General features: G+C 41.7%; 1 long non-coding RNA gene across 2 annotated transcripts; it reads left to right on the forward strand.

Annotated features, from left to right (window-relative positions):
- The first annotated feature begins 6,762 nt into the window (after window positions 1-6,762).
- Window positions 6,763-24,734, forward strand: LOC105373601 (uncharacterized). Of its 2 annotated transcripts, none has more exons than XR_923302.1 (3): window positions 6,763-7,417; window positions 12,461-12,574; window positions 24,536-24,734. It is a non-coding gene; the product is annotated as an uncharacterized LOC105373601 (long non-coding RNA). The 2 variants fall into 2 exon arrangements; XR_923303.1 differs by lacking the exon at window positions 6,763-7,417 and adding an exon at window positions 7,491-7,577.
- Window positions 24,735-26,435: the final 1,701 nt, after the last annotated feature.

The raw sequence follows: 26,435 nt of genomic DNA on the forward strand, positions 1-26,435 counted from the left end.
ACCTCCTACTGGTTCTGCCTGCGTCTTCCTTCACTCTAGTTGATTCTCTTTGAGTTATTCGAGTTATCTACTTGCAAAAGAAATTATAAGCTACACTTATTTTAGTGCCTCTGTTGTACTACTTTTGCCATCAGGACACTGTTTTAAAATATAACCTGGCCAGGCGCGGTGGCTCACGCCTCTAATCCCAGCACTTTGGGAGGCCGAGGTGGGCGGATCATGAGGCTAGGAGATCAAGACCATCCTGGCTAACACGGTGAAACCCCATCTCTACTAAAAAATACAAAAAAATTAGCCGGGCATGGTGGCAGGTACCTGTAGTCCCAGCTACTGAGGAGGCTGAGGCAGGAGAATAGCATGAACCCAGGAGGCAGAGCTCGCAGTGAGCCGAGATTGAGCCACTGCACTCCAGCCTGGGCGACAGAGCAAGACCCCGTCTCAAAAAAACAAAAACAAAAACAAATATATATATATATATATATATATATATATATATATATATATATAACCTGGGATTTTGTTTTTATTCAACTATGGAGAGGCTAACAGGTATCAAAGAAATGACTTTCATTGAAAAGATAGTTTGTTACCCACAGATCCCAAGAGAAGGGAGTGTGCCATGCCATGCCCGGCCACACAGAAAAGCCCCAGGGAAGGCCAAGAGGCAGTAGGAACAGGGGAAAAATAAAGGCAGGAGTCTTTATTGTGGTTTTCACAGGAAGGAATGGGTAAGGCAGGGTCAAACAAGTTTAGGATTAAATAATTTGAATAATTTGGGCAGGCTCTGGCCTATAAGGGTGGTTCCTGGTTGTCCAGTGCTTGGCTCTGGGGTAATTTGAGACAACGGTGTAGTGTCCTAAACTATAGGATCCTGATAAAAGGAGGGAGGTGGGGGTACAGAGTCAAAGGCATTCTCATAGACAAGTAGCTAACTATCTCCAGGAATTCACTAGTCTTGGAAGGGGTAGTCTCTCCTGGTTCAGGCTCAAAGTGTCAAAGCATCATAAAAATAAAAGCAAAAAACATAATTAACAGAGACAGAATTCAGACTTTTTGGTTGGGATCTGAGGCCATTCACACTTGGCCTTTGACCATCTCTCCCAGCCTCATTCCCAGTCACTTCCAGGACACCCAGGTTCCAGCCACAGCCCCCTCCGCCACCTTCCACAGGCCACCCATGCCCTTTCCACTCCTGTGCTTTTCTTCATAGTGTTCCACACATCGGGAATGTTTTTCCTCACATTCTTCACCTAGCAAACTCATCTGGAGCCTTCACAAATCTGCTCAGATTCCCTGAGTCCCTATGGCACATGTACACCCTCCTTCCTGTCATCTCTCATTTGACTTGGCTTATAGCTCAGTTAGAGTCACTGCTTAATAAGTTGTGTGTCAGTTATCTGTTAACATGTGTGTCTCCACCATCAATACAGGAGCCCTATAGAGACTGTCCTATCTTGACTCCCCAGTGACTAGCACCATGTATTAGACATCATAGGCACACGCCTAATAGTGGTTGAATGCATGGCAGACTTCAATTCTTTCACAGGGAAGCAAGAAGCCATACAGACTTAAATAGCTTCCAACGGTATTAGGTTATGGTAAAGCTGCTTGGCTTCACAGTAGGATTTTAGAAATTCAGATAAAATCTGATAATAATAGGATTTATTAGTAAAGCCAGAAATCATCCTTACTCTTGGGAGTCTGATTGGATTTGACTTTGGAAAGCTGATTTTTTTGGAATGAAGCCCTAATTCATCCCCATCTCATAATTCAACTAAAATGTTCATGCCTGGTTAAAAGGGAAGAAGAGGAGAAGGTTACTTTATGTACAGGTTGAATCTGTTGGAACTAATTGTAACTAATGCTCTGCTTTATTTAAATTGTGAGGTGAGAGAAGTTTACCTTGTTGGTAGATGAAGAACTCTAGGGATCACCATGCAGAGGAGAGAGAGAGATTTGGGAGGGCAAGAGGTCTTTTCCATCGCCACTGAAATCATACCATGTAGAGAAAGTCTAACTTTGTCTTGAATTGTTGAACATAAAGCAACCAAATGTTAGTTTAATCCTTCTTAGCTCCTCCCAAGACCTGTTAATAGAGAATGATGATGTATGATATTGCCAGGATGACACTATACAATTCTTGTGTTTTCTCAAATGGGGGAATCTGCACCCCAGTTTATATGAGATTCTCTCCTGAAGCAGTTTGCAAGCAAGTTCCTGTTCACCTAGAGCAGATGCTGACCCTCTAGGACCAGAGTGCTCACTTCTGTGAAAGTGTCAGAGAACTTTACACACATACACACATATGTATGCAGGTATGTACTATATATGTTTTATGTAGTTATGTGTGTGGAGAGAGAGAGGGAAGGAAAGAGAGACTGACAGAGAGACAGAGTGAGGTTGTAAGCATACCTCTAAATCTATTTCCAAATCTCTTCAAAATAATTTAAAATTTTTAAGCAAACCTACTCTTCTATATTAGCCTGAGAATTCATGTGACTTGAGATGTTTGAAATAAGGTATAAAAGAAATTTTAAAACGTACAGTGATTTTGTCTACATAGTTTGCCTTTCTTGACAAGAATCTCATAAGCCAAAGTGCGGTTTGCCCTGTGGTCATGGAGAACGCACTGTCAGTGAGGACTCTGCTGAAAAAAGAAGACCCAGCTTGACCTCACGAAGCTCACTCTGGGAACTGTGGCATTTGACACCTCACCTCCAGCTTCCTCCAATGCCACACTCTCCCCAAATAGTGAGAGTCCATCCAACTTGGTATGACACCATGCTTAAGTCAGGAGCAAACGGCCAATTGTTTTCATAATTGCATTCCCCCTGAAGTATCTCTAAACACAGGTGATTTGTGAGAGCGAAAGGAGATAATTAAATGCTGGAATATATTTGATTTATTGAGCATGGGATTATTTCTGACATTTATTGGTGACTCAAAGAAAGTCCAGAGCTAGAAAATATGTGCTCATTGCTTTGTATGATGTATATATAAGACAGGAGGACATGGCCCGAGGCAAAAGTGACACACTGGAAGTTTTCCTTCAGCTCCCCTTCCCCTGGGGGTCGTGTCAGCTCTGCCCACTTAAGCATGAGCTCTCCACATGAGCCAGCACCTCGTCTGCCTTCTCCTCACAGACTTCTCTCAACCCAATCAGAAAACAATGTTTTTACTTTCACCTGAAAAGAATTCTAAATTTACAGGGGAAAAAATCATAAAAATGAAAAAAGTATAAAGAATATCTATATATAATTTACTCAGATTCACCTATTGTGAGCCTTTTGCCACATTTATCATTTGCTCTATCTATGTATCTATTATCTTTTTAATTTGAGGGTACATCACACACATCAGCCCCTTTCCTCTAAATACTTCAGTGTGCATTTCCCAATAATAGAAATACGCCCTTAAACAACGCAGTACAATGATCAACTTCAGTAAATTCCACACTGATGCAGTACTTTCATCCAGCCTACTGTTTTGATCTAATTTTGTCAGTTGACCCAATAATGTCCTGTATAGGATTGTTCGCCTCTGATGCAGAATCTGGTCTTGGGTCAAGTGCAGCCTTAGTTGTCACATCTCTTTGCCCTCCATTAATCTATGGCATTTCTATAACTTTTCTTTGATTTTTATGACATTGTCATTTTCGAAGAGTATAATCTCCCCTCTTGGTTTAAATACAGTGTTTCCCATTTTGTCTTTGTCTAATGTTTCTTCATGATTGCAGGAATACCTGGGAGATATTGTGAGCTTGGTTTCAGACCATGGCAATAAAGCAAATATTGTAATGGAGCAAGGCACACAATTTTTGTGGTTTCCCAATGCATAAAAAAGCTGCTTACACTACACTATAGTCTATTAAGTATGCAATCACATTATGTCTAAAAAACAGCGTATGTGCCATACTTTAAAAATAGTTTATTGCTAAAAAATGCTAATGATCATCTGAGCCTTCAGCGAGTCATAATCTTCTTGCAGGTGGAGGGTCTTGCCTCAATGTTAATGGCTGCTGACTGATCAGGGTGGTGGTTACTGAAGGTTGGGGTAGCTGTGACCATTTTAAAATATAAGACAACAATGAAGTTTGCTGCATCCATTTCACAAAAGATTCCTCTGTAGCATGCGATGCCCTTTTATAGCATTTTACCCACAGTAGAACTTCTTTCAAAATTGAAGTCAATTCTCTTAAGCCCTGCCACTACTTTATCAACTAAGTTTATGTAATATTCTAAATCTCTTGTTGTCATTTCAACAATGTTCACAGTGTCTTCACCAGGGGTAGATTTCATCTCAAGAAACCACTTTCTTTGCTCATCTATAAGAAGCAACTCCTCATCCATTCAAATTTGATCATGAGATTGCGACAATTCAGTCACATCTTTAGGCTCCACTTATAATTCTAGTTTTCTTGCTATTTCCACTACATTTGCAATTACAATAGTACCATCAGAAATCACTGATCACAGATCACCATAAAAGGTATAATAATAATGAAAAAGTTTGAAATATTGCAAGAATTTCCAAAGTGAGACAGAGACACCAAGTGAGCATAAACTGTTCAAAAAATTACACCAATAGACTTGCTCAACACACAATTGCCACAAACCTTCAATTTGTAAAATATGCAGTATTTGCAGGGTACAATAAAGTGAAGCACAATAAAATGAGATATGCCTGTATATTAAGGTCTTGCATCCTTAAAATATTGAAAAGTTGATGTCATGTTCCTTGTATGGTATCATACCTGTGGGTCCAACTGTCTCTCAGAGGTAATGTTAATTTTGATCACTCAAAGAATGTCCCAATTTCTCCACTGTATATTGTTTTTATCCTTGCAACATCTAATAAGTACTTTATATGGAGACATCTTATGGAAATATCCTGCCCATCATCAAAACTTCCCTACCTTTGGCACCCATCCATGATTCTTGCCTGATGCAGTCTTCATCATGCTATCACAAAATGATTTTTTTTCAACTCCATCATTACCTACACATGTAACAACTATCTTCCATGGTCTATTATAATTCCTCCCTACAATTTTGGGGGTTTTTTTTGAGACAGGGTCTCACTGTGTCACCCAAGCTGGAGTGCAGTAGCACGATCTTGGCTCACTACAGCCTCCACCTACCAGGTTCAGCCTCTCAAGCAGCTGGGACTACAGGTACATGCCACCACACCCGGCTAATTTTTGTATTTTTAGTAGACATGGGGTTTCACCATGTTGGCCAGGCTGGTCTTGAACTCCTGGCCTCAGGTAATCTGCCTGCCACGGCCTCCTAAAGTGCTGAGATTACAGGTATGAGCCACCGTGCCCAGCCTATCCTCTCCATAATTTATTATCTATCTATCTAACTACCTATCATTTATCTATCTATGCTAACTAGTAAATTCCTCTTTTAAATGGTTTGTAATTCATTATGGCACTCAATTATTTGATACTAAAATTGTCCCATATTTGGCCTGTGAGACACTCTTCAAATTGTATCATATTTCCCTGTAACATGTCTCCATCATTATTATTTTTTTAAACACTTCTTACTCTCTGGCATACAAAATGTTCCAAGCTCATTTTGCACCTACCTTGCCAAGACATTTCTCTGTTGGGCCCGGCTTCATTTTAAAGGGAATAGGATTAGAGACCAAGATCTGATAATTAGATGTGCTAATTGTTGCTAGCATGGCTTTGTTTTTGGCTCTTTGAGCAGACAGAAATAGGAAACAGCCACATATTTTTACACATATGCATGCAGACATATACAAATATGCATTCATGCATGCATACACATGTGTGTATTTGTATGTGCACCTAAACATACACATTTTAGAAATCCTGAGTCCATACCAATGCCTTCCATTTTGATCCACATTCTTTTTTTTCTTTTTTTTTTTAGATGGAGTCTCGCTCTGTTGCCATGCTGGAGTGCAGTGGTGCAATCTCGGCTCACTGCAACCTCCACTTCCTGAGTTCAGGTGATTCTCCTGCCTCAGCCTCTCGAGTAGCTGGGACTACAGGTGCGTGCCACCATACCCAGCTAATTTTTGTGTTTTTAGTAGAGACGGGGTTTCACCATGTTGGCCAGGATGGTCTCGATCTCTTGACCTCGTGATCCACTGGCCTCCTAAAGTGTTAGGATTACAGGCTTGAGCCACCGCACCCGGCCTCGATCCACATTCTTATGTCCCTTCTATATGGAGAACACTGGCTCCCAGCAGCCTCACGGTGTCTCACTTGTTCAATCTTATATTACATCTAAACTAGCTCTAGAATTGTTTTTTCCATAAAACTAAAATCAACCAACCGACTCAAGAGCACAGAATATTTGTGTGCTGCCCCCCTGCGAACACACACACAGCCCACCTGCTCCAGATTCATGATATACAGTCACATACTGTGACCCAGTTATTTGGATTAGTTCTTTTCTTGTTTGTTTTTCTTCCCCTTCAGTATTTTTAGGGTAGTCATTAACTATAATTAAGTTCACTTGTTTCCATTTTCTTTGTTTCATGTTTGGCCTTTTTTCCATTCTTATTGATTTTATTTTAATTGTTGAGTGTGTAGCTTATCATCAGCCTTTAAAATGTCAAAACATTATAAAAATTACGCTCAGAAAAGTGTCATTCTCTCCTGTACCCTTCCAGCCCACACCCCTTCCTGCTGTCTTCTTGCAGGTAACAAACTCGATTTTTAAAAATTTATTCTCCCTCTGTTTCTTTTAGATGGAGTCTTTTACCTAAGCCTTTCTTTGTCCTGAGATGCAGAATGGAAGAAGAGTGCCAACACTCTTCAGGGTACCAGGCATCTCTCAACTCTCACAGCATCTCCAGGAGGGAAGCCACTGTCTCAGCCCAAGATAATGACATCTTCACCTGGACCAATGCTATTTATCCTGGAACGAGAAGCAGTGGATTTGGCACATCTTCAGCATTTGGGCTAGGAGGTCCAGAGATTGCAATGATGCAGAGCCTCAGTGTCTGGGATTGGAAACTCTGCAAGTCCAGCCACTCTGACACCGTGGCCATGCCTTAGGAAAATAGTTTTATAGGAAGTAAAAAGAAATAGAAAAGCTAGGTCACAAACGTGTTGTACCTTCAGGAGCCAAGATCTGTGGTGGCACACCACCAGCTGAATAATCTAACAGTGTGGAAAAGGGTTTCCTCGTTCAGACCCAACTTCCAGCTCCAACTGCAGCCTTAGGCTCCCCAGCCCTATCTGTAGGGGAGAAAGATGGCACCTGGTTCCCTGGCCACCAGGCTTCCATCGTCATCCAGCAGGGACAAACAAGATCCCATGAACAACCAGACCACCTGGGTGGTAACAGAGACACTGTGTGGTCATCACAATAGGCAAGAGAACTGGATGGCCTGCCAACTACATTCCCTCCCTTGGAGGTGACAAGAACCAGAGGTGACTTCTTGAAATAAGTAAACTCATGTAGATGCCTTGAAGTTGCCCAGTGGGAGGATCATAAGGACAGAGAATGACATTCCCATAATAGAATGGGTGGGGGCGATTATGAATCATTTGAGTATTGTGAAGAATGTGATCTCATTTTGTACCCAAGCCAGTGAGTATCATGCCAATTTTCTATATGAGAAAACAGGCTAGGCTGGGCATGGTGGCTCATGCCTGTAATCCCAGCACTTTGGTAGGCTGAGGTGGCTGAGGTGGGTGGATCACCTGAGGTCAGGGGTTTGAGACCAGCCTGGCCAACATGGCAAAACCTGTCTCTACTAAAAATACAAAAATTAGCTGGGCAGAGTGGCAGGCGCCTGTAATCCTAGCTACTCGGGAGGCTGAGGCAGGAGAATCGCTTGAACCTGGCATGATAAGCAGAGGTAAAGAGTGATGAAGAGGAGCTAGGAGCACACTGAGGGGGCCCATGGGGTCAAAAGTGGTCCCTGGGTCCAAGCAAACTTGCAGAAAGGGAACAGGAGGTGGTTATTGAATACTGTTGGGATCTCCTGCTGGCTAGGAGCTTCAATGCTTCTCATTAAATTCTTACAGGAAATGTATGAGGTAGGTAGTACCCACGTACCTGCCTCATGAGCAGCAGATGGAACCTCACAGAGGTGAGCGTGTTGCCGCAGCTAGCTATAGAGGGAGGCAGGATGCCACACCAGCCATCCTGTTGGCTGCAGATCATCCGCCCCTGCTCCACTCCAGCCTGGGGGGAGAGGGTAGTGAGCGGTGGCAGCTGTGAAGATGCCACACAGTGCTCCCCTCCTCTCTGGACTTTGAGATGTTACCACGTAGAAGGGGCCCCTGGTTCTTCCATTAAGGTTTGTCTTTTATTCTCTACCCAGTTTTGTGGGAAGTAAAATATGACATTTGGTTAATTAATTTTTCAGATCTACAAGGCCGATGTAGGAAAGGCTGTAAATTAAACAATTCTCATTTCCATAACATTGCGGTCCAAAGGGTATCGCGTTATGATGCATCCCTGAAGCAATGATGCACAGCTTCTATTAAACAAAGGCCTGCATGCAAAAGCCCCTTGCCCTGCCTTGTGATGAAGTTAGGCATGCGAAACAGAAAAATAATTGGACGTGTTTATCTCCCGATTTTTTTATCTGAATCTACTCAACAGGGCTGTCAGGGACTGTTCCCCAAGACAGGTCTACTGTATGAACAAAAAGATACAATTTAAAAGGCCATTTACTATATAATCTCCACCTCATTCCGAGATGGGAAGTGGCTCACCACCGTACATGCAGTAGGGCAGGATGGGAACAGAGGAAGAGAAAGGGAGGAGGAGAACACAGCAGAGGGCAGGAAATTATGGCTGGGGCCGCGGTGTACAAATGAAGGCAAAAGTGGGCCCAGTGCCCGAGCAGAGGAAGGTTTGGAAGTAGCTGGATGGCAGTTTAAAGGGCATGAGGACAAGGTAAGAGTCACAGGCACAGGGACGGAACTGAGTGAGAACTGCAGAACTGAGGAGGGGCTTAGTTTCTGAGCTGTTTTATTGTTTGACCAGTGTGTGGTCACAGCAGGCTTGGGGTTTGAGTAATGGGAGAAGGAGACAATCAGACCCATGTGCACCCTGAGGGCAGAGAGCAAAGGTTAATTACAGGTCAGGGGCTCAGGCCAGGGGGCTTCAGGGTCAGGCAGGTTGCAAAGGTGAAAGCAAGGCTTGGAGTGGAAGAGGGCCTTAGCCATTCCTCATTAGGGTCAGCACCACAAGCAATGGCCAGGGCTGAAGAAGCCAGGGTAGCCCAGGAGCCTGCACAGGACTGGAAGGCTAAAAGTCAAGCCAGGAGAAAGAGGCAGAGGGGCAGGCCAGGCCAAAAGAATGCATTTGGAGCCCAAGCCACAGAAACACAGGTGGCCACACTGCCTGATGCATCCTGCCAGGGCCTGCGGTGATGCAGGGCTGGAACAGAGGATGAGGAAGCAAGGAGCAAGACATTTCCCGATGCAGAAAACCAGCTGAGTGCCCTTCATTAATGGGGTGTATATAGTGAGTGGAAGCAAAAAAATAACAAATTTAGGCAATACAAATATGTGCCTGGCGATATACCGGCTTCTGGAAATATAAAAATAGATAAGATTGGGCCCCTGCTGTGCATTAGGAAATTAAATGTGACCTCAGCTAATTGCAGCAATTGTTCTGAGCACACAGAGGAGGGAGACACTACTTCCACCTGGGGTAATCAGGGAAGACTTCTGAGGACATTATACTTGGACCACATCTGGTAAAATAACAGGGAATTTTTTTCTTTTTTTTTTTTTTTTTGAGACTGAGTTTTGCTCTTGTTGCCAGGCTGAAGTGCAATGGTGCGATCTCAGCTCACCACAACCTCCACCTTCAGGGTTCAAGCGATTCTCCTGCCTCAGCCTCCCGAGTAGCTGGGATTACAGGCATGTGCCACCACGCCCAGGTAATTTTGTATTTTTAGTAGAGATGGAGTTTCTCCATGTTAGTCAGGCTGGTCTCGAACTCCCGATCTCAGGTGATCCACCTGCCTCGGCCACCCAAAGTGCTGGGATTACAGGCATGAGCCACCATGCCCATCCAATAACAGGGAATTTTTCTAGGAGAGAGGGGAAAGAGAGGAAGGACATTTTAGATAGAGGAAAGCATATGTTGTAGGTGTACAGTCATAGAAGGATTAATGTATAGACTCACCCATGGTGGGAAAGCCAAACTCGACATTTTAGGAAAAAAACATTCACCAGAGTAGAAACAGAACTCTCAGTTATCCAAATCATTCTATTACCTAGAGTTCAATTCTGTAAACAGGCTGTTCCAGAAGTATTTCTCATCATTATTTATAAGTATTAAAACATATGTGGAGAGTATTTCATTGTCAATATCTTGGAGTAAATTCCAGGGTAAGTGCACTAAAAATCATGTCTTTTCTGCAGGACTTCTCAGAGCTTTTAATATATTAATATGCATTTTGAACTTCAAAGAGAGAGTGTGGCATTAAGCATTTCTCATTCCAAAGATGCAAGCATGTTTTTTTTTTCAGCTCAAGCATAAATGGGATTTCTAGGAAATTGTGGCTTAAACATTCCAATTAATCTAAGCCTTAAAACATAGGTAGACAAATACCTCTGAAGGCCGGTGTCTCCCTTTATTGTAACTTGTGAAAGCTTTGTCCGCGGTTTTCATATTACGTGGTAATGCTTTACATGTTGTTTCTCCCAAGATCTGTGCTGTCCAGTATGGTGGTCACTAGCCACACACAGCTATTGTGCACTTGAAATGTGGCTGTACCATTGTGATGTGCTGTGAGTTACTAGCAAGTTCCTAGGAATGCATATGTGCCTTGCTCTCTATTTCCATCACACAGCACTGCCACAAGCCATGAACTACTTGAGTGTGGAGATCTTAGTCATCCGTGTATTCTTGATGCTTAATAAATGTCCTTTCATATAGTAGGCATTCAATAAACATTTGCTGAATGAAAAAAATTAGAATGTAAATAAGTGAAACCCTGTACCTAAACTACTTGTTACACATTAAATCTGATGCAAAGTGTTTGCCCTCATTTTCTGACTTTCATTTTGCAAAGCCTGTTTCTGCTTATTTATAAATGACCTCTTTACTGAAGTGAATATGTTATTTGCATGTATGCAATTAATCCACTAAATTGTTTTAACATATCCAGAAAGCTAGCTTTCCAAGCCATAGCATTCCCTTTTTTTAAAAAAAAAATACAGGATTCTGGGTTCCGACACGATTTACTGCCTTTGGGAAGCCTGCACAGTAGCATCTGACAGCTCATGTGGCTACCTGACCTCCTTCACCTCCTGTGTTTTCACTTCTGGCCTCATCTCCCTTGTTCCTCTTGCCCCCAAGACAACCACTTTCTGAAAAACAATCGATAACTCCCTGATCTCCAAAGCCTGTTCTTGTACTCGCAGTTCTAGTGTTTCTGAAGCATTAACTTATTTCAAGCAACTTCCGAATTTTGTAATGCCCCACCTTCTGAGTGATGCTCTTACTTCATTCTGCTCTACCTCCTCCGTATACCCTCTGAAGGCTTTCTTCTCTCTATTGCCTCGTTGCCCTCACAGTGATTTTCTTGGTAGCTGGGCAAGTCTGGCAATCTTTAAAACAGAGATAACAGACTCTGCCAGATGACCTCCGGGCACTGTGAAAGTTAAACAGGATAATGAAAGTAAAGAGCTGTGTAAACTGCCAAGTGTGAATAGGTATGAAGGGTGATTCTTACTAAATTGGAATGGAATGAAGCAAGGCACTTCACTCCTTTTTTCCTGAATTTCTGAGTCTTCCTACTCGTTTAAAGAACATTTAAACCCATCTCAATGTGCCTAGAGATGAACCGTCAAGACTGCTTAGTATTTTCACCCATCAAATGGATAATTCCATCCTTTCTACTTTCCTTCTTTTCTACTTGACATCTGATTTAGAGAAGAGTGTGGAAACTTACAGTAATGAGTGAAGCTTCTTCTTCTCTACTCCTCAAAATATCCTACTGCCCTTATTATTAGGCAACCAATATAATGTAACTAATAAGAACTAACACAGAGAAGTATATTTTACTTTTAATTAGTTATAATTATTACCTAGTACTTGAAATTTAATATATTCTTTCCCTCCCTCTTTGCATTGGTTACGTGGATTTTAGTACAATGTTTAACTTGAGGCCACACAGAACAGTGATTTAATGCTGGAATGTTGACCCGGATCGACAAAGGTTTTATTGTAGATTACAAAACTGCCCACAATTGGCCTTATTTTGTCCTATCCCATCAAGAGGTGGAGTCTGTTTCTCCACCCCTTGAATTGGGGTTGGCCACATGACTTGCTTTGGCCAAGGGAGCATCAGTCACCCTGATATAAGCACAGGCTTGAAAAATAATTTCTCAGTGACATTTGTCCTCTTACTGTTTCAGGGATGCTTTGCCTCCCACCAAGTGAAGAAGCTTGAGGAAGCACATGATAAATGTATTGCCCTGTCACCCTTATCATTTCAGCCAACTGCCTGACCCATGAGGCCACCCTAGACCACCCACTCACTGGCCCACCCACCAGCTGACCACGGACCCATGAGAGAACCAGAAAAACTGCCCAGGAAACCAACAAAATATGTAAGCTAAACAAGTGGCTATTGTGATAGGCTGCTGAGTTGTGGGGTGGTTTGTAATGCAGCAAAAGGGAACTGATACAGGAGCAACTACCTAGACACAGAGTGCTACTGTTAAAAAAAACCCCCTCAAACACAGGGCGTTAACCATGCAACTGGGAGATGTATAGAGTCTGGAAACACATTGGAGAAACTGGTAGAGAGAACTGCACATTCTCAGTGGTGGCTGGTGATGGCCACCACTGATGGTGGTCATCAAACTGATGAGGAAACTGCTATGGCAACTAGAAAAAGAGCAACACATGTTGTGTCATAAAGCAGTTTGTAAAGCTGTTACCTGGAGTAAATTGAGGAATACCACACATACCTTAAAGCTTTCTGATCTGGCTAAGCAGATCTCTAGACAGAATGTTGTAGTGTCAGCTGGTTCCAGATATGTATGGTATAGTATTGCAAGAAAGAACTGTTTCATCTGCAAAAGTTACTGCACATATTGAGGGACACGCACTTGTTGAAGACTTCTGGATTTAATATCATGTCTAGCAAATAGCTTGTCACCAAATACCTTGTTATAAGAAAATTCAGAAAAATGTTAAGGTCATTGTAATAGGAAAAGGGCCACTGGATTGGACAAAAAAGTAACTGAAATTGCTCAAAATACCAAAAGGCTCCTGTCCCCTAACTTATCTATTGCCATCAGCAGTGTTCAAGGGTTTCCCTTTCTCTGGACCTTCTCCGACACTTGTTATCTTTCATCTTTTTGATAATAGCCATTCTAGCAGGTATAAAGTGATATCTCATTGTGGTTTTGATTTGCTTTTTCCTAGTAATTAGGGATGTTGAGCATTTTGTTCATATACCTGTTGGCAATCTGTGTGTCTTCTTTTGAGAAATTTCTGCTCAATCCCTTGCCTATTTTTAATGTGCGTTTTTTTTTGCTGTTAAATTGAAATTATTAAGTATATTGAATATTAACTTACCAATGTATGGTTTGCAAATATTTTCTCCTATTTTATAGGTTGTCTCTTGACTTTGTTAATTGTTTCCTTTGCTGTATAGAAGCTTTTTAGTTTGATGCAACCCCATTTGTCTATTTTTGCTTTTGTTACCTGTGTTTTTAGGATCATATTAAAAAAAATTGTTACCCAGAGCAATGTCAAGAAGCTTTTCCTCTATGTTTTCTTCTAGCCATTTTACAGTTTCAGGTCTTACATTTAAGTATTTAATTTATCTTAAGAAGATTTGTGTATATTCTCCTCCATGTGGATATCCAATTTTCCCTACACTGTTTATTAAGGAGACTATCCCTTCCCCATTGTATTCTTGGCAACTTTGTCAAAGATCAGTTGATCATAAATGTGTGGATTTATATTAAATATCTGGGCTGGCTTTTCTCTTTTATTGGCCAGTGTCATTCTGCTAGGAATTCTATACCGCTGTAATGTATTTTGAATTCAGGAAGTGTGATGCCTCCAGCTTTGTTCTTGTTCAAGTTTGCTTTGACTATTCGAAGTCTTTTGTGGTTCCATATGAATTTTCAGATTGTTTTCCTATTTCTTGTGGAAAATGCCATTGAAATTTTTTATTATTATTGTTATTATATTTTAAGTTTTAGGGTACATGTGCACAATGTGCAGGTTAGTTACATAGGTATACATGTGCCATGCTGGTGTGCTGCACCCATTAACTCATCATTTAGCATTAGGTATATCTCCTAATGCTATCCCTCCCCCCTCCCCCCACCCCACAACAGTCGCCAGAGTGTGATGTTCCCCTTCCTGTGTCCATGTGTTCTCATTGTTCAATTCCCACCTTTGAGTGAGAACATGTGGTGCTTGGTTTTTTGTCCTTGCGATAGTTTACTGAGAATGATGATTTCCAATTTCATCCATGTCCCCACAAAGGACATGAACTTATCATTTTTTATGGCTGCATAGTATTCCATGGTGTATATGTGCCACATTTTCTTAATCCTGTCTATCGTTGTTGGACATTTGGGTTGGTTCCAAGTCTTTGCTATTGTGAATAGTGCCACAATAAACATACGTGTGCATGTGTCTTTATAGCAGCATGATTTATAGTCCTTTGGGTATATACCCAGTAATGGGATGGCTGGGTCAAATGGTATTTCTAGTTCTAGATCCCTGAGGAATCACCACACTGACTTCCACAATGGTTGAACTAGTTTACAGTCCCACCAACAGTGTAAAAGTGTTCCTATTTCTCCACATCCTCTCCAGCACCTGTTGTTTCCCGGCTTTTTAATGATCGCCATTCTAACTGGTGTGAGATGGTATCTCATTGTGGTTTTGATTTGCATTTCTCTGATGGCCAGTGATGGTGAGCATTTTTTCATATGTTTTTTGGCTGCATAAATGTCTTCTTTTGAGAAGTGTCTGTTCATGTCCTTTGCCCACTTTTTGATGGGGTTGTTTGTTTTTTTCTTGTAAATTTGTTTGAGTTCATTGTAGATTCTGGATATTAGCCCTTTGTCAGATGAGTAGGCTGCGAAAATTTTCTCCCATTTTGTAGGTTGCCTGTTCACTCTGATGGTAGTCTCTTTTGCTGTGCAGAAGCTCTTTAGTTTAATTAGATCCCATTTGTCAATTTTGGCTTTTGGGGCCATTGCTTTTGGTGTTTTAGACATGAAGTCCTTGCCCATGCCTATGTCCTGAATGGTAATGCCTAGGTTTTCTTCTAGGGTTTTTATGGTTTTAGGTCTAACATTTAAGTCTTTTATCCTTCTTGAATTAATTTTTGTATAAGGTGTAAGGAAGGGATCCAGTTTCAGCTTTCTACATATGGCTAGCCAGTTTTCCCAGTACCATTTATTAAATAGGGAATACTTTCCCCATTGCTTGTTTTTCTCAGATTTGTCAAAGATCAGATAGTTGTAGATATGCGGCATTATTTCTGAGGGCTCCGTTCTGTTCCATTGATCTATATCTCTGTTTTGGTACCAGTACCATGCTGTTTTGGTTACTGTAGCCTTGTAGTATAGTTTGAAGTCAGGTAGCGTGATGCCTCCAAGCTTTGTTCTTTTGGCTTAGGATTGACTTGGCGATGTGGGCTCTTTTTTGGTTCCATATGAACTTTAAAGTAGTTTTTTCCAATTCTGTGAAGGAAGTTATTGGTAGCTTGATGGGGATGGTATTGAATCTATAAATTACCTTGGGCAGTATGGCCATTTTCACAATATTGATTCTTCCTACCCATGAGCAGGGAATGTTCTTCCATTTCTTTGTATCCTCTTTTATTTCCTTGAGCAGTGGTTTGTAGTTCTCCTTGAAGAGGTCCTTCACATCCCTTGCAAGTTGGATTCCTAGGTATTTTATTCTCTTTGAAGCAATTGTGAATGGGAGTTCACTCATGATTTGGCTCTCTGTTTGTCTGTTATTGGTGTATAAGAATGCTTGTGATTTTTGTACATTGATTTTGTATCCTGAGACTTTGCTGAAGTTGCTTATCAGCTTAAGGAGATTTTGGGCTGAGACAATGGGGTTTTCTAGATATACAATCATGTCATCTGCAAACAGGGACAATTTGACTTCCTCTTTTCCTAATTGAATACCCTTTATTTCCTTCTCCTGCCTAATTGCCCTGGCCAGAACTTCCAACACTATGTTGAATAGGAGTGGTGAGAGAGGGCATCCCTATCTTGTGCCAGTTTTCAAAGGGAATCCTTCCAGTTTTTGCCCATTCAGTATGATATTGGCTGTGGGTTTGTCATAGATAGCTCTTATTATTTTGAGATACGTCCCATCGATACCAAATTTATTGAGAGTTTTTAGCATAAAGAGTTGTTGAATTTTGTCAAAGACCTTTTCTGCATCTATTGAGATAATCATGTGGCTTTTGTCTTTGGTTCTGTTTATATGCTGGATTACATTTATTGATTTGCGTATATTGAACCAGCCTTGCATCCCAGGGATGAAGCCCACTTGATCATGGTGGATAAGCTTTTTGATGTGCTGCTGGATTCGGTTTGCCAGTATTTTATCGAGGATTTTTGCATCAGTGTTCATCAAGGATATTGGTCTAAAATTCTCTTTTTTTGTTGTGTCTCTGCCTGGCTTTGGTATCAGGATGATGCTGGCCTCATAAAATGAGTTAGGGAGGATTGCCTCTTTTTCTATTGATTGGAATAGTTACAGAAGGAATGGTACCAGTTCCTCCTTGTACCTCTGGTAGAATTTGCCTGTGAATCCATCTGGTCCTGTACTCTTTTTGGTTGGTAAGCTATTGATTACTGCCACAATTTCAGATCCTGTTATTGGTCTATTCAGAGATTCAACTTCTTCCTGGTTTAGTCTTGGGAGGGTGTATGTGTCGAGGAATTTATCCATTTCTTCTAGATTTTCTAGTTTATTTGCGTAGAGGTGTTTGTAGTATTCTCTGATGGTAGTTTGTATTTCTGTGCGATCAGTGGTGATATCCCCTTTATCATTTTTTATTGCGTCTATTTGATTCTTCTCTCTTTTCTTCTTTATTACTCTTGCTAGCAGTCTGTCAATTGTGTTGATCCTTTCAAAAAACCAGCTCCTGGATTCATTAATTTTTTGAAGGGTTTTTTGTGTCTCTATTTCCTTCAGTTCTGCTCTGATTTTGGTTATTTCTTGCCTTCTGCTAGCTTTTGAATGTGTTTGCTCTTGCTTTTTTAGTTCTTTTAATTGTGATGTTAGGGTGTCAAGTTTGGATCTTTCCTGCTTTCTCTTGTGGGCATTTAGTGCTATAAATTTCCCTCTACACACAGCTTTGAATGTGTCCCAGAGATTCTGGTATGTTGTGTCTTTTTTCTCATTGGTTTCAAAGAACATTTTTATTTCTGCCTTCATTTCGTTATGTACCCAGTAGTCATTCAGGAGCAGGTTGTTCAGTTTCCATGTAGTTGAGTGGTTTTGAGTGAGTTTCTTAATCCTGAGTTCTAGTTTGATTGCACTGTGGTCTGAGAGTTAGTTTGTTGTAATTTCTGTTCTTTTACATTTGCTGAGGAGAGCTTTACTTCCAACTATGTGGCCAATTTTGGAATAGGTGTGATGTGGTGCTGAAAAAAATGTATATTCTGTTGATTTGGGGTGGAGAGTTCTGTAGATGTCTATTAGGTCCACCTGGTGCAGAGCTGAGTTCAATTCCTGGGTATCCTTGTTAACTTTCTGTCTTGTTGATCTGTCTAATGTTGACAGTGAGGCTGTAAAGCCTCCCATTATTGTGTGGGAGTCTAAGTCTCTTTGTAGGTCACTCAGGACTTGCTTTATGAATCTGGGTGCTCCTGTATTGGGTGCATATATATTTAGGATAGTTAGCTTTTCTTGTTGAATTGATCCCTTTACCATTATGTAATAGCCTTCTTTGTCTCTTTTGATCTTTGTTGGTTTAAAGTCTGTTTTATCAGAGACTAGGATTGCAACCCCTGCCTTTTTTTGTTTTCCATTTGCTTGGTAGATCTTCCTCCATCCTTTTATTTTGAGCCTATGTGTGTCTCTGCACGTGAGATGGGTTTCCTGAATACAGCACACTGATGGGTCTTGACTCTTTATCCAATTTGCCAGTCTGTGTCTTTTAATTGGAGCATTTAGTCCATTTACATTTAAAGTTAATATTGTTATGTGTGAATTTGATCCTGTCGTTATGATGTTAGCTGGTTCTTTTGCTGGTTAGTTGATGCAGTTTCTTCCTAGCCTCGACGGTCTTTACAATTTGGCATGATTTTGCAGTGGCTGGTACCGGTTGTTCCTTTCCATGTTTAGCACTTCCTTCAGGAGCTCTTTTAGGGCAGGCCTGGTGGTGACAAAATCTCTCAGCATTTGCTTGTCTGTAAAGTATTTTATTTCTCCTTCACTTATGAAGCTTAGTTTGGCTGGATATGAAATTCCGGGTTGAAAATTCTTTTCTTTAAGAATGTTGAATATTGGCCCCCACTCTCTTCTGGCTTGTAGAGTTTCTGCTGAGAGATCTGCTGTTAGTCTGATGGGCTTCCCTTTGTGGGTAACCCGACCTTTCTCTCTGGCTGCCCTTACCATTTTTTCCTTCATTTCAACTTTGGTGAGTCTGACAATTATGTGTCTTGGAGTTGCTCTTCTTGAGGAGTATCTTTGTGGAATTCTCTGTATTTCCTGAATCTGAATGTTGGCCTGCCTTGCTAGATTGGGGAAGTTCTCCTGGATAATATCCTGCAGAGTGTTTTCCAACTTGGTTCCATTCTCCCCGTCACTTTCAGGTACACCAGTCAGACTTAGATTTGGTCTTTTCACATAGTCCCATATTTCTTGGAGGCTTTGTTCATTTCTTTTTATTCTTTTTTCTCTAAACTTCCCTTCTCGCTTCATTTCATTGATTTCATCTTCCATCACTGATACCCTTTCTTCCAGTTGATCGCATCGGCTCCTGAGGCTTCTGCATTCTTCACGTAGTTCTCGAGCCTTGGCTTTCAGCTCCTTCAGCTCCTTTAAGCACTTCTCTGTATTGGTTATTCTAGTTATACATTCTTCTAAATTTTTTTCAAAGTTTTCAACTTCTTTGCCTTTGGTTTGAATTTCCTCCCATAGCTCAGAGTAGTTTGATCGTCTGAAGCCTTCTTCTCTCAACTCGTCAAAGTCATTCTCCGTCCAGCTTTATTCCATTGCTGGTGAGGAACTGCGTTCCTTTGGAGGAGGAGAGGTGCCCTGCTTTTTAGAGTTTCCAGTTTTTCTGCTCTGTTTTTCCCCATCTTTGTGGTTTTATCTACTTTTGGTCTTTGATGATGGTGATGTACAGATGGGTTTTTGGTGTGGATGCCCTTTCTGTTTGTTAGTTTTCCTTCTAACAGACAGGACTCTCAGCTGCAGGTCTATTGGAGTTTGCTAGAGGTCCACTCCAGACCCTGTTTGCCTGGGTATCAGCAGCAGTTGCCGCAGAATTTTGATAGGGATTGCATTGATCACTTTGCCTAGTATATTTTAACAATATTAATTATTTTGGTCTATAAACACAGGATATCTTTCCATTTATTTGTGCCCTCTTCAATTTCTTTTATTTCTTTTATTAATGTTTTAAAGGTTTCAGTTTACAAATCTTTCACTGCCTTGGTTAAATTTATTTCTAAGTATTTATTCTTCTTTGATGCTATTATAAATGGGGTTTTGTTAATTTTTTGATAGTTCATTGTTAGTGTATAGAAACGCAAATGATTTTTGTATGTTGATTTTGTATCCCATGACTTTAGTGTATTTGTTTTGTTTATTAGTTCTAACAGATTTTTGGTGAAAACTTTAGAATTATATATAGATGATATATATATCATATATATGTAGTTATATATATATCATATATATATATATGATAATGTCCTCTGTAAACAAGACACATGTAGGCTGAAAGTGAAGGGATATGGAAAGATATTCCATGGAAATGATAAACAAAACAGGTCAGGAGTGGCTATATTTACATCAGACAAAATATACTTTAAGTCAAAAATTATCACAAGAGATAAAGGGGTCAATTCATCAAGAGGATATAACAACTGAAAATATATATGGACCCAACACTGGAGCACCTAAATTTGTAAAGCAATAATACAATAATAGCAGAGGGACTTCAGTACCCTACTTACAAAAATGGGTTGCTCATCTGGACAGAAAATTAGTAAGGAAATAGTGGACTTGAATAAAACTATAGACCAAATGAACCTAACAGACACCCAAAACATTCTATTCAACAGCAGCAGAATACACATCCTTCTCAAGCACATACAGAACATTCTCTGGGACACTAGGATGTGTCAAAATACACAAATAAATGAATGCAATGCACCATATTAACAGAATGAAGAACAAAATCATGTGATCAAAAATGTCATGATCATCTCAATAGATACAGAAAAGGCTAACATCATACTTAATCATGAAAAACTGAAAGTTTATTCTCTAAGGTCAGGAACTAGGCAAGGATGCCCACTTTCATTACTTGTTTGAATGCCGGGGCAATTAAACAAGCATAAGAAATTGGATAGTAAGAAGTAAAAATGTCCCCTAATTTTCTATCAGCAGGAAGTAGGCTGAGAAAGTTAATGAGTTTTGACATGGGCTCTGCCTCCAACATCTTACTCTCCCCTGGAATTATCTCAATTTCCCTTCGTCATTGGTCTTTGGCAGCTTCCCACCACTCTCTCTGCAAACCAACACCCTCCCTTCCCCATCACTCATCATCACCATCATCATCACCTTCACCAACAGCCTCATCAAGCAGCAGCTTTCAGGGCCAGGCACAGTGGCTCATGCCTGTAATCCCAGCACTTTGGGAGGCCAAGGTGGGTGGATCACGAGGTCAGGAGTTCAAGACCAGCCTGGCCAAGATGTTGAAACCCCGTCTCTCTAAAAATACAAAAAATTAACTGGGCATGGTGGCACATGCCTGTAATCCCAGCTACTCAGGAGGCTGAGGCAGAGAATTGCTTAAACCCAGGAGGCAGAAGTTGCAGTAAGCCAGGATCACACCACTGCACTCCAGGCTGGGCGACAGAGCGTGGATTTTCCAACCCAAGAGAAGTCACAGAAAGTACACAAATGCATTCATGTGTAGATGACAATAAGTAAACCATCATCTAGGACAGAGACAAGAAGCTGTAGAAAAAGAGTTACTCAGTGTGTCCTGGGAAAACAGACACAGTGCACACCAAGCAATGCTAACAAAACAATGCAGTAGCTACAGATTCAACATGGGAAGCCCCAGAAGGAGCAGACACCTGTGGAGCACAGAGATCTTTGAGAGCTTCCTTAAGGGAAGAAATTAGCAGTGCCTTTAAGACAGATATTATTGAAAAAGACATCCACAGTCATTTGATAATTATTTAAGGAGTGTCTGCAGTGAGCCAGGTGCTACGCTACACAATGAGTAAAACAATAATCGTAAATATGAATAATGCTGCCTTGTCTTTGTGTTGCACTTTGCAATTCATCATCCAGTCAGGAATGACAATCTGAACATCAGGACAGAAAAGAAAAGGGACAAGCAGGAACTAGAATTGCTTAAACACCTCAGTGTCCCTAGCACCACACTGGTATTTTGCAGTGGCAGTTCAAATGCCATTTGAATTTAAGGTTGAGGCTTGATTTAAGGTTAAATCAAAAGAGAAACTAGGTGACCGACCAAGTCACTCATAGAGCTTGTGCTGGTAGAGTTCGGAACTGAATAAGATCCTTCAAAGCCAAAGCTCTGTTGAGGAATCTGGAGGTAGTCAGGGTCTGGTTTAAACAGAGCCCTGGGAAGGGTTGGGATTGGGTAAGGAGGAAAGGAAGAGAAGGAGAGAGGGAGAGAGATCAGTCAACAGGAAGGAATCAGGGCCATTTTCTACAGGAGTATACTCATTCCTCCAAAGAGCATCTATCTCCCAGGGGAGCACTGTTGCCATGACTAGTTAGCACCTGGAGCATTTTTCCAGTTCAAAGGTATTCTTTCCTATAATAACCAATTAGCACCTGTCACAGTCATTTTCCTGACCAGTTGATGAGGATTGAGGTTCTGGCAGGCTGGAGATTTCACTAAAGCCCTTTGGTTAATAACGGTGATATTCAGAGCAGAACTAATAGCTCATGCTTGGAATGGATTCTCTCTTTTATGTGACCAGATTCTCCCAGGACCTGCATAGTTTGATTTTTCTGTGCCCAAGAACTTTAACAAGCTATTGTTAGCCAGTAATAACTTTTGGAGCCCCCCTGGCCAGAAAGCAGAACAGTTCATCACTGAACAATACAGCTGATTTATTTTATTATTAAGGGAGTTTGTAAGAGGACAATTCATGTTTCCTCTGCTCTTAGGTGATTCTCAGAGTCTGCCATCCTTCTCAATATTGCCACATTGACTCCCATTGCTGCAGAGCTTATGCTGTGCAGAGTCCCATCCAGGACCCAAATTGCAGAGACGGTAGCCAAAGTGTGGGCTATGCAGGGAATGCAGTGTCCTTGGCTTTCTACCCATAAATGAGAACCTCATCATTATAGAGGGCTGTCCCCGCCCAGGTCACATTGGCGCCTCTCTCTTTATGCACATGTATCACAGCACCTGCAAGACTAGATCGCATGGATTTGTTTCATTGTGAGTCTCTTCTACACAACTGTGCATCTGTTCATGCCAAAGGTTCTGTGTGATTTAACTTTTGGACCAAACCCAAACCTGGATCCCAACCCTCAGTAATAATGACTGGGGTTAGCACAGCTAATTTGCTTACCCAACATCTGTTGTCTGGTTTCCTGACAACAGCACCTCAATTTTCTTTGGGAGAATCATCCTTTATTGGGTGGAGTTAACTTTCTCCTGGGCAGCAGGGTAGAAACAGGACACTGATGTGGTCTCTCCAGTTCACAGTGATTGGTCAGGCCTGGGCACACCACCCAATTCATGCCAAGGAGAGAAAAGGCCATTTTTTCTGCAATTATTGGGAAAGAAATCTCTTTCCATGGAGATTCCTAATTTGGCAAGATATAAGCCTGAACTACTGGTGAACATTTGTATCATACACACAGAGAATCTGACTAATGATTAAGAAAGATAGAGGAAAAAAATCTTGGAGACATAGTCAGAATTATAAGGACATTGTTTGAGCTTCTAGAACCATCTCTTCCTGAAGCCACTGCCCTTTGGCTCTTAGATACACTCATCATCCTTTGCAGCATCCTTCCATTCTGAAAATAACTCAATGAGCTAAGTGCTCTGCAAGTAAGGAAAAATAGGCTTAAACTGTTTAGCACTTTCCCCAAAACAGTAGCATAGTATAATGGTCAATTAGTGTCTGTTAAATTGTTAAGTTACTAATTTACTTAGCTGAAAAGCAACAGCTCTCATTTAATTCACTTTGCAGCCAGCCATATGAGAAAAAGGGGCCCTGTGCTCTTGCATTGTGGTTTCTTTTCTGGTTTCTCCCTGCCTGACCCTCTCGTGGACCTGTGATGTTCAGTGGCTTTATTATTCATCCACTGCACATTGAATCTCTGCTCGGGAAAGCATCTAAATTCTGTTAACCACCAGCCTTGCTCAGCACCACACTTTGCTAAAATGCACATCCGTTCCCTACCCTGCCTCTCCCTAACTTATATACTGGGGCACCATGAGGTCAGCATCTTATAAGAGGAAGCCCGTTTCCCTCTCATTGGCCTGTCCCTTTTCCAGTCCTGATGCTGGTTCCCTTCATGGCATCCCCTCCCACTCCTGTTCTCCCATCCCTTGGGTCAGGAGTCAAGCAATCCTGACAGAGACCAGCTGAGTGGAAAGGTTGGGAACAGCTTCCATGGGGCTGGAGCTGGAGTGTGTTTCATTCCAGCCACGAAAACATGGGGTCCAAAGACCTTGAGGAGACAGAGTCAGCATCTACAGGGGAGAGACAAGCTTCAGGGACCAGCGCAGAGGAGCAGAGGCCAGTGTCATGGTTTGGTTAGGGGAGACTGAGGCCAGGGTGGAAACACCCCAGATACACCTGAGGATAGGAACGGGGAACAAACAGTCCTGGGCAACTGCTAGGAGTGACTTGAGGGCAGCAAGACGCATGATGATGAGCAGACACTGGATGCGGCCCATCATCTGCTGTGTAGCCTTGAGCTCATTAATCACTCTCTGTGGCCCACTTCCCTGGTCTATCAAACATGGCTAATGATGATGCCTACAGATTGTCTCTTCTGAGGTTGTTGAGAGACTTAAAAAGAGCCAGAACATGGAATGTGCTAGGATATGGTGGTACTCAATGACAGATAGACACGGCCATCAGCGCTGTGGTGATTATGTCCCACAGCTCTGTGTCTGGTCTCTAGATTACCCAAATGACATCAGTAGCATCCAGCAAGTCAGAAGTCTCCCCAGATAAACCTAATCCCTTCTGTCTCTCCTTTTTTTTTTTTTGTTTTGTTTTTTGCTTGAAACTCACTCCTCTGTCATAAGCCACATGTTGCTCCTGCAAGAACAACCTGGGCTTCTCCCATCATGCATGACAAATCACTTCCAGGATCCAGCCCAGCCTGTGAGACCCCAGCCAGCATGGCCCACCAGGATGGCTCTTCCACAAAACGGAGATCCATTTGGAAATGGAAGAAGACTCACCAACCACTTCAGGCCCACCAATGCAGTGCTTTCCCAGAGGAACTTGCAACTTAACAGCATAAGGGACTTGACATAAAGGCTATTTCCACTGTTGTTTCCTGAGACCAGGGAAGCATTTTGGTTTTCAGCTTCCACGTATTTCTCACTTTCAGGTTTTTCTACTGTGAACACCAGCACTTTATTCCCCTGAGTAAAGGAGCAATTTTATGCTCTAAAGGACCTATCTAGAGCTGGATGAAGAAGGAGCTACTGAGTCAGGATTAGATCATGCTCCTCTGTGAGTGTGAGTGTGTTTAGTTGAGGTCCCTTTCTCATAGAAATTACATATTCTACATATTGTCTGTGTGATATATGTGTGGACTGGCAAATAGGAGCATGTCTACATTAGTACAGCTGGATTTAGCACAATACTATTAAAATGGAATTGGCCACATATTTATGCATGCATCCAGTCATGCTGGGACCAGAAGGCTTACTAACTAGTCCTGTTTCTACCCTGCTGCCCAGGAGAAAGGAAGGAGGCTTGTTTTGGCCAGGAAGGAAGGAAGGAAGGAAGGAAGGAAGGAAGGAAGGAAGGAGGGAGGGAGGGAGGGAGGGAGGGAGGGAGGGAGGGAGGGAGGGAAGGAGGGAAGGAAGGAAGGAAGGAGGGAAGGAAGGAGGGAAGGAAGGAAGTCAGTCAGTCTCAGGTTGTCACCTGTACTTCTGGCCAATCCACTATAAATTGGAGATTCCCACAACTCCCTCCTCAGGTTCTATTATTTGCTAGAACTGCCACAGAACTCAGGGAAGCACTTTCTTAGATTTACTCGTTCATTTTAAAGGATATTACAAAGAATATCCAGATGAAGAGGTACACAGGGCAAGCCATGGAAGAGTCGTAAGCACAGCAGCTTCTGTGCCCCTGAAGTTTGGGGCTCACCATCCTCCATGCACATGGGATGTGTTCTTGTTCACCAGCCTGGAAGCCCACTGACCCCCATATTTTAGAGATTTATATAGAGGCTTCATCAAGTAGGCATAATCAAATTTTAACTCCATTTTTAGCTCCTCTCCCCTCCCTGGAGAATGGGGGTTGGGGCCTAGGACCAAAAGTTCCAATCTAATCACAGTTTGGTCTTCTAGCAATCAGCCCCCATTCTAAAGCTATCCAGGAGCTTACCGAGAGTCACCTCATTAGAACTGAGGTCAGGGGTTTGAGACCAGCCTGGCCAGCATGGCGAAACCCCGTCTCTACTAAAAATACAAAAATTAGCTGGGTGAGGTGGCGGGCTCCTGGAATTCCAGCTACTTGGGAGGCTGAGGCGGGAGAATCGCTTGAACCTAGGAGGTAGAAGTTGCAGTGAGCCAAGATTATGCCACTGCACTCCAGCCTGGGCAGCAGAGTGAAACTCTGTATCAATAAGAAAAAAAAAAAAAGATTCTCCTATCACCCAGGAAATTCCACAGGTTTTAGGAGTTCTGTGCCAGGAGCCAGGGCAGAAACCAAATATATGTATTTTTTTATTATAAATTATGATATCACACACATACAATCCTTTAATCCTTAGATTCTTTGTCTCAATTTCTTCTCAGGTAATTAACTTCATGAAAAGCTTCACTCAAAATGTTAACCCCCACCACCATAAACCATTGTGTGTTATCCCTTGAAGCCCTCAAAAAATACCCATTATTTTATGGACCACACCATAAAGCATTCATAGAAAAAGGATTTTGCAGTGTTATAAAAAAGAAGGGAAAGGAATCTATAGTCATCAAATTACAGGTTATATATCTTGCTGAGATATGTATATTCTTCATATTGAAGA

This window comes from Homo sapiens, chromosome 2, assembly GCF_000001405.40.
Source record: "Homo sapiens chromosome 2, GRCh38.p14 Primary Assembly".
Classification (NCBI taxonomy): domain Eukaryota; kingdom Metazoa; phylum Chordata; class Mammalia; order Primates; family Hominidae; genus Homo; species Homo sapiens.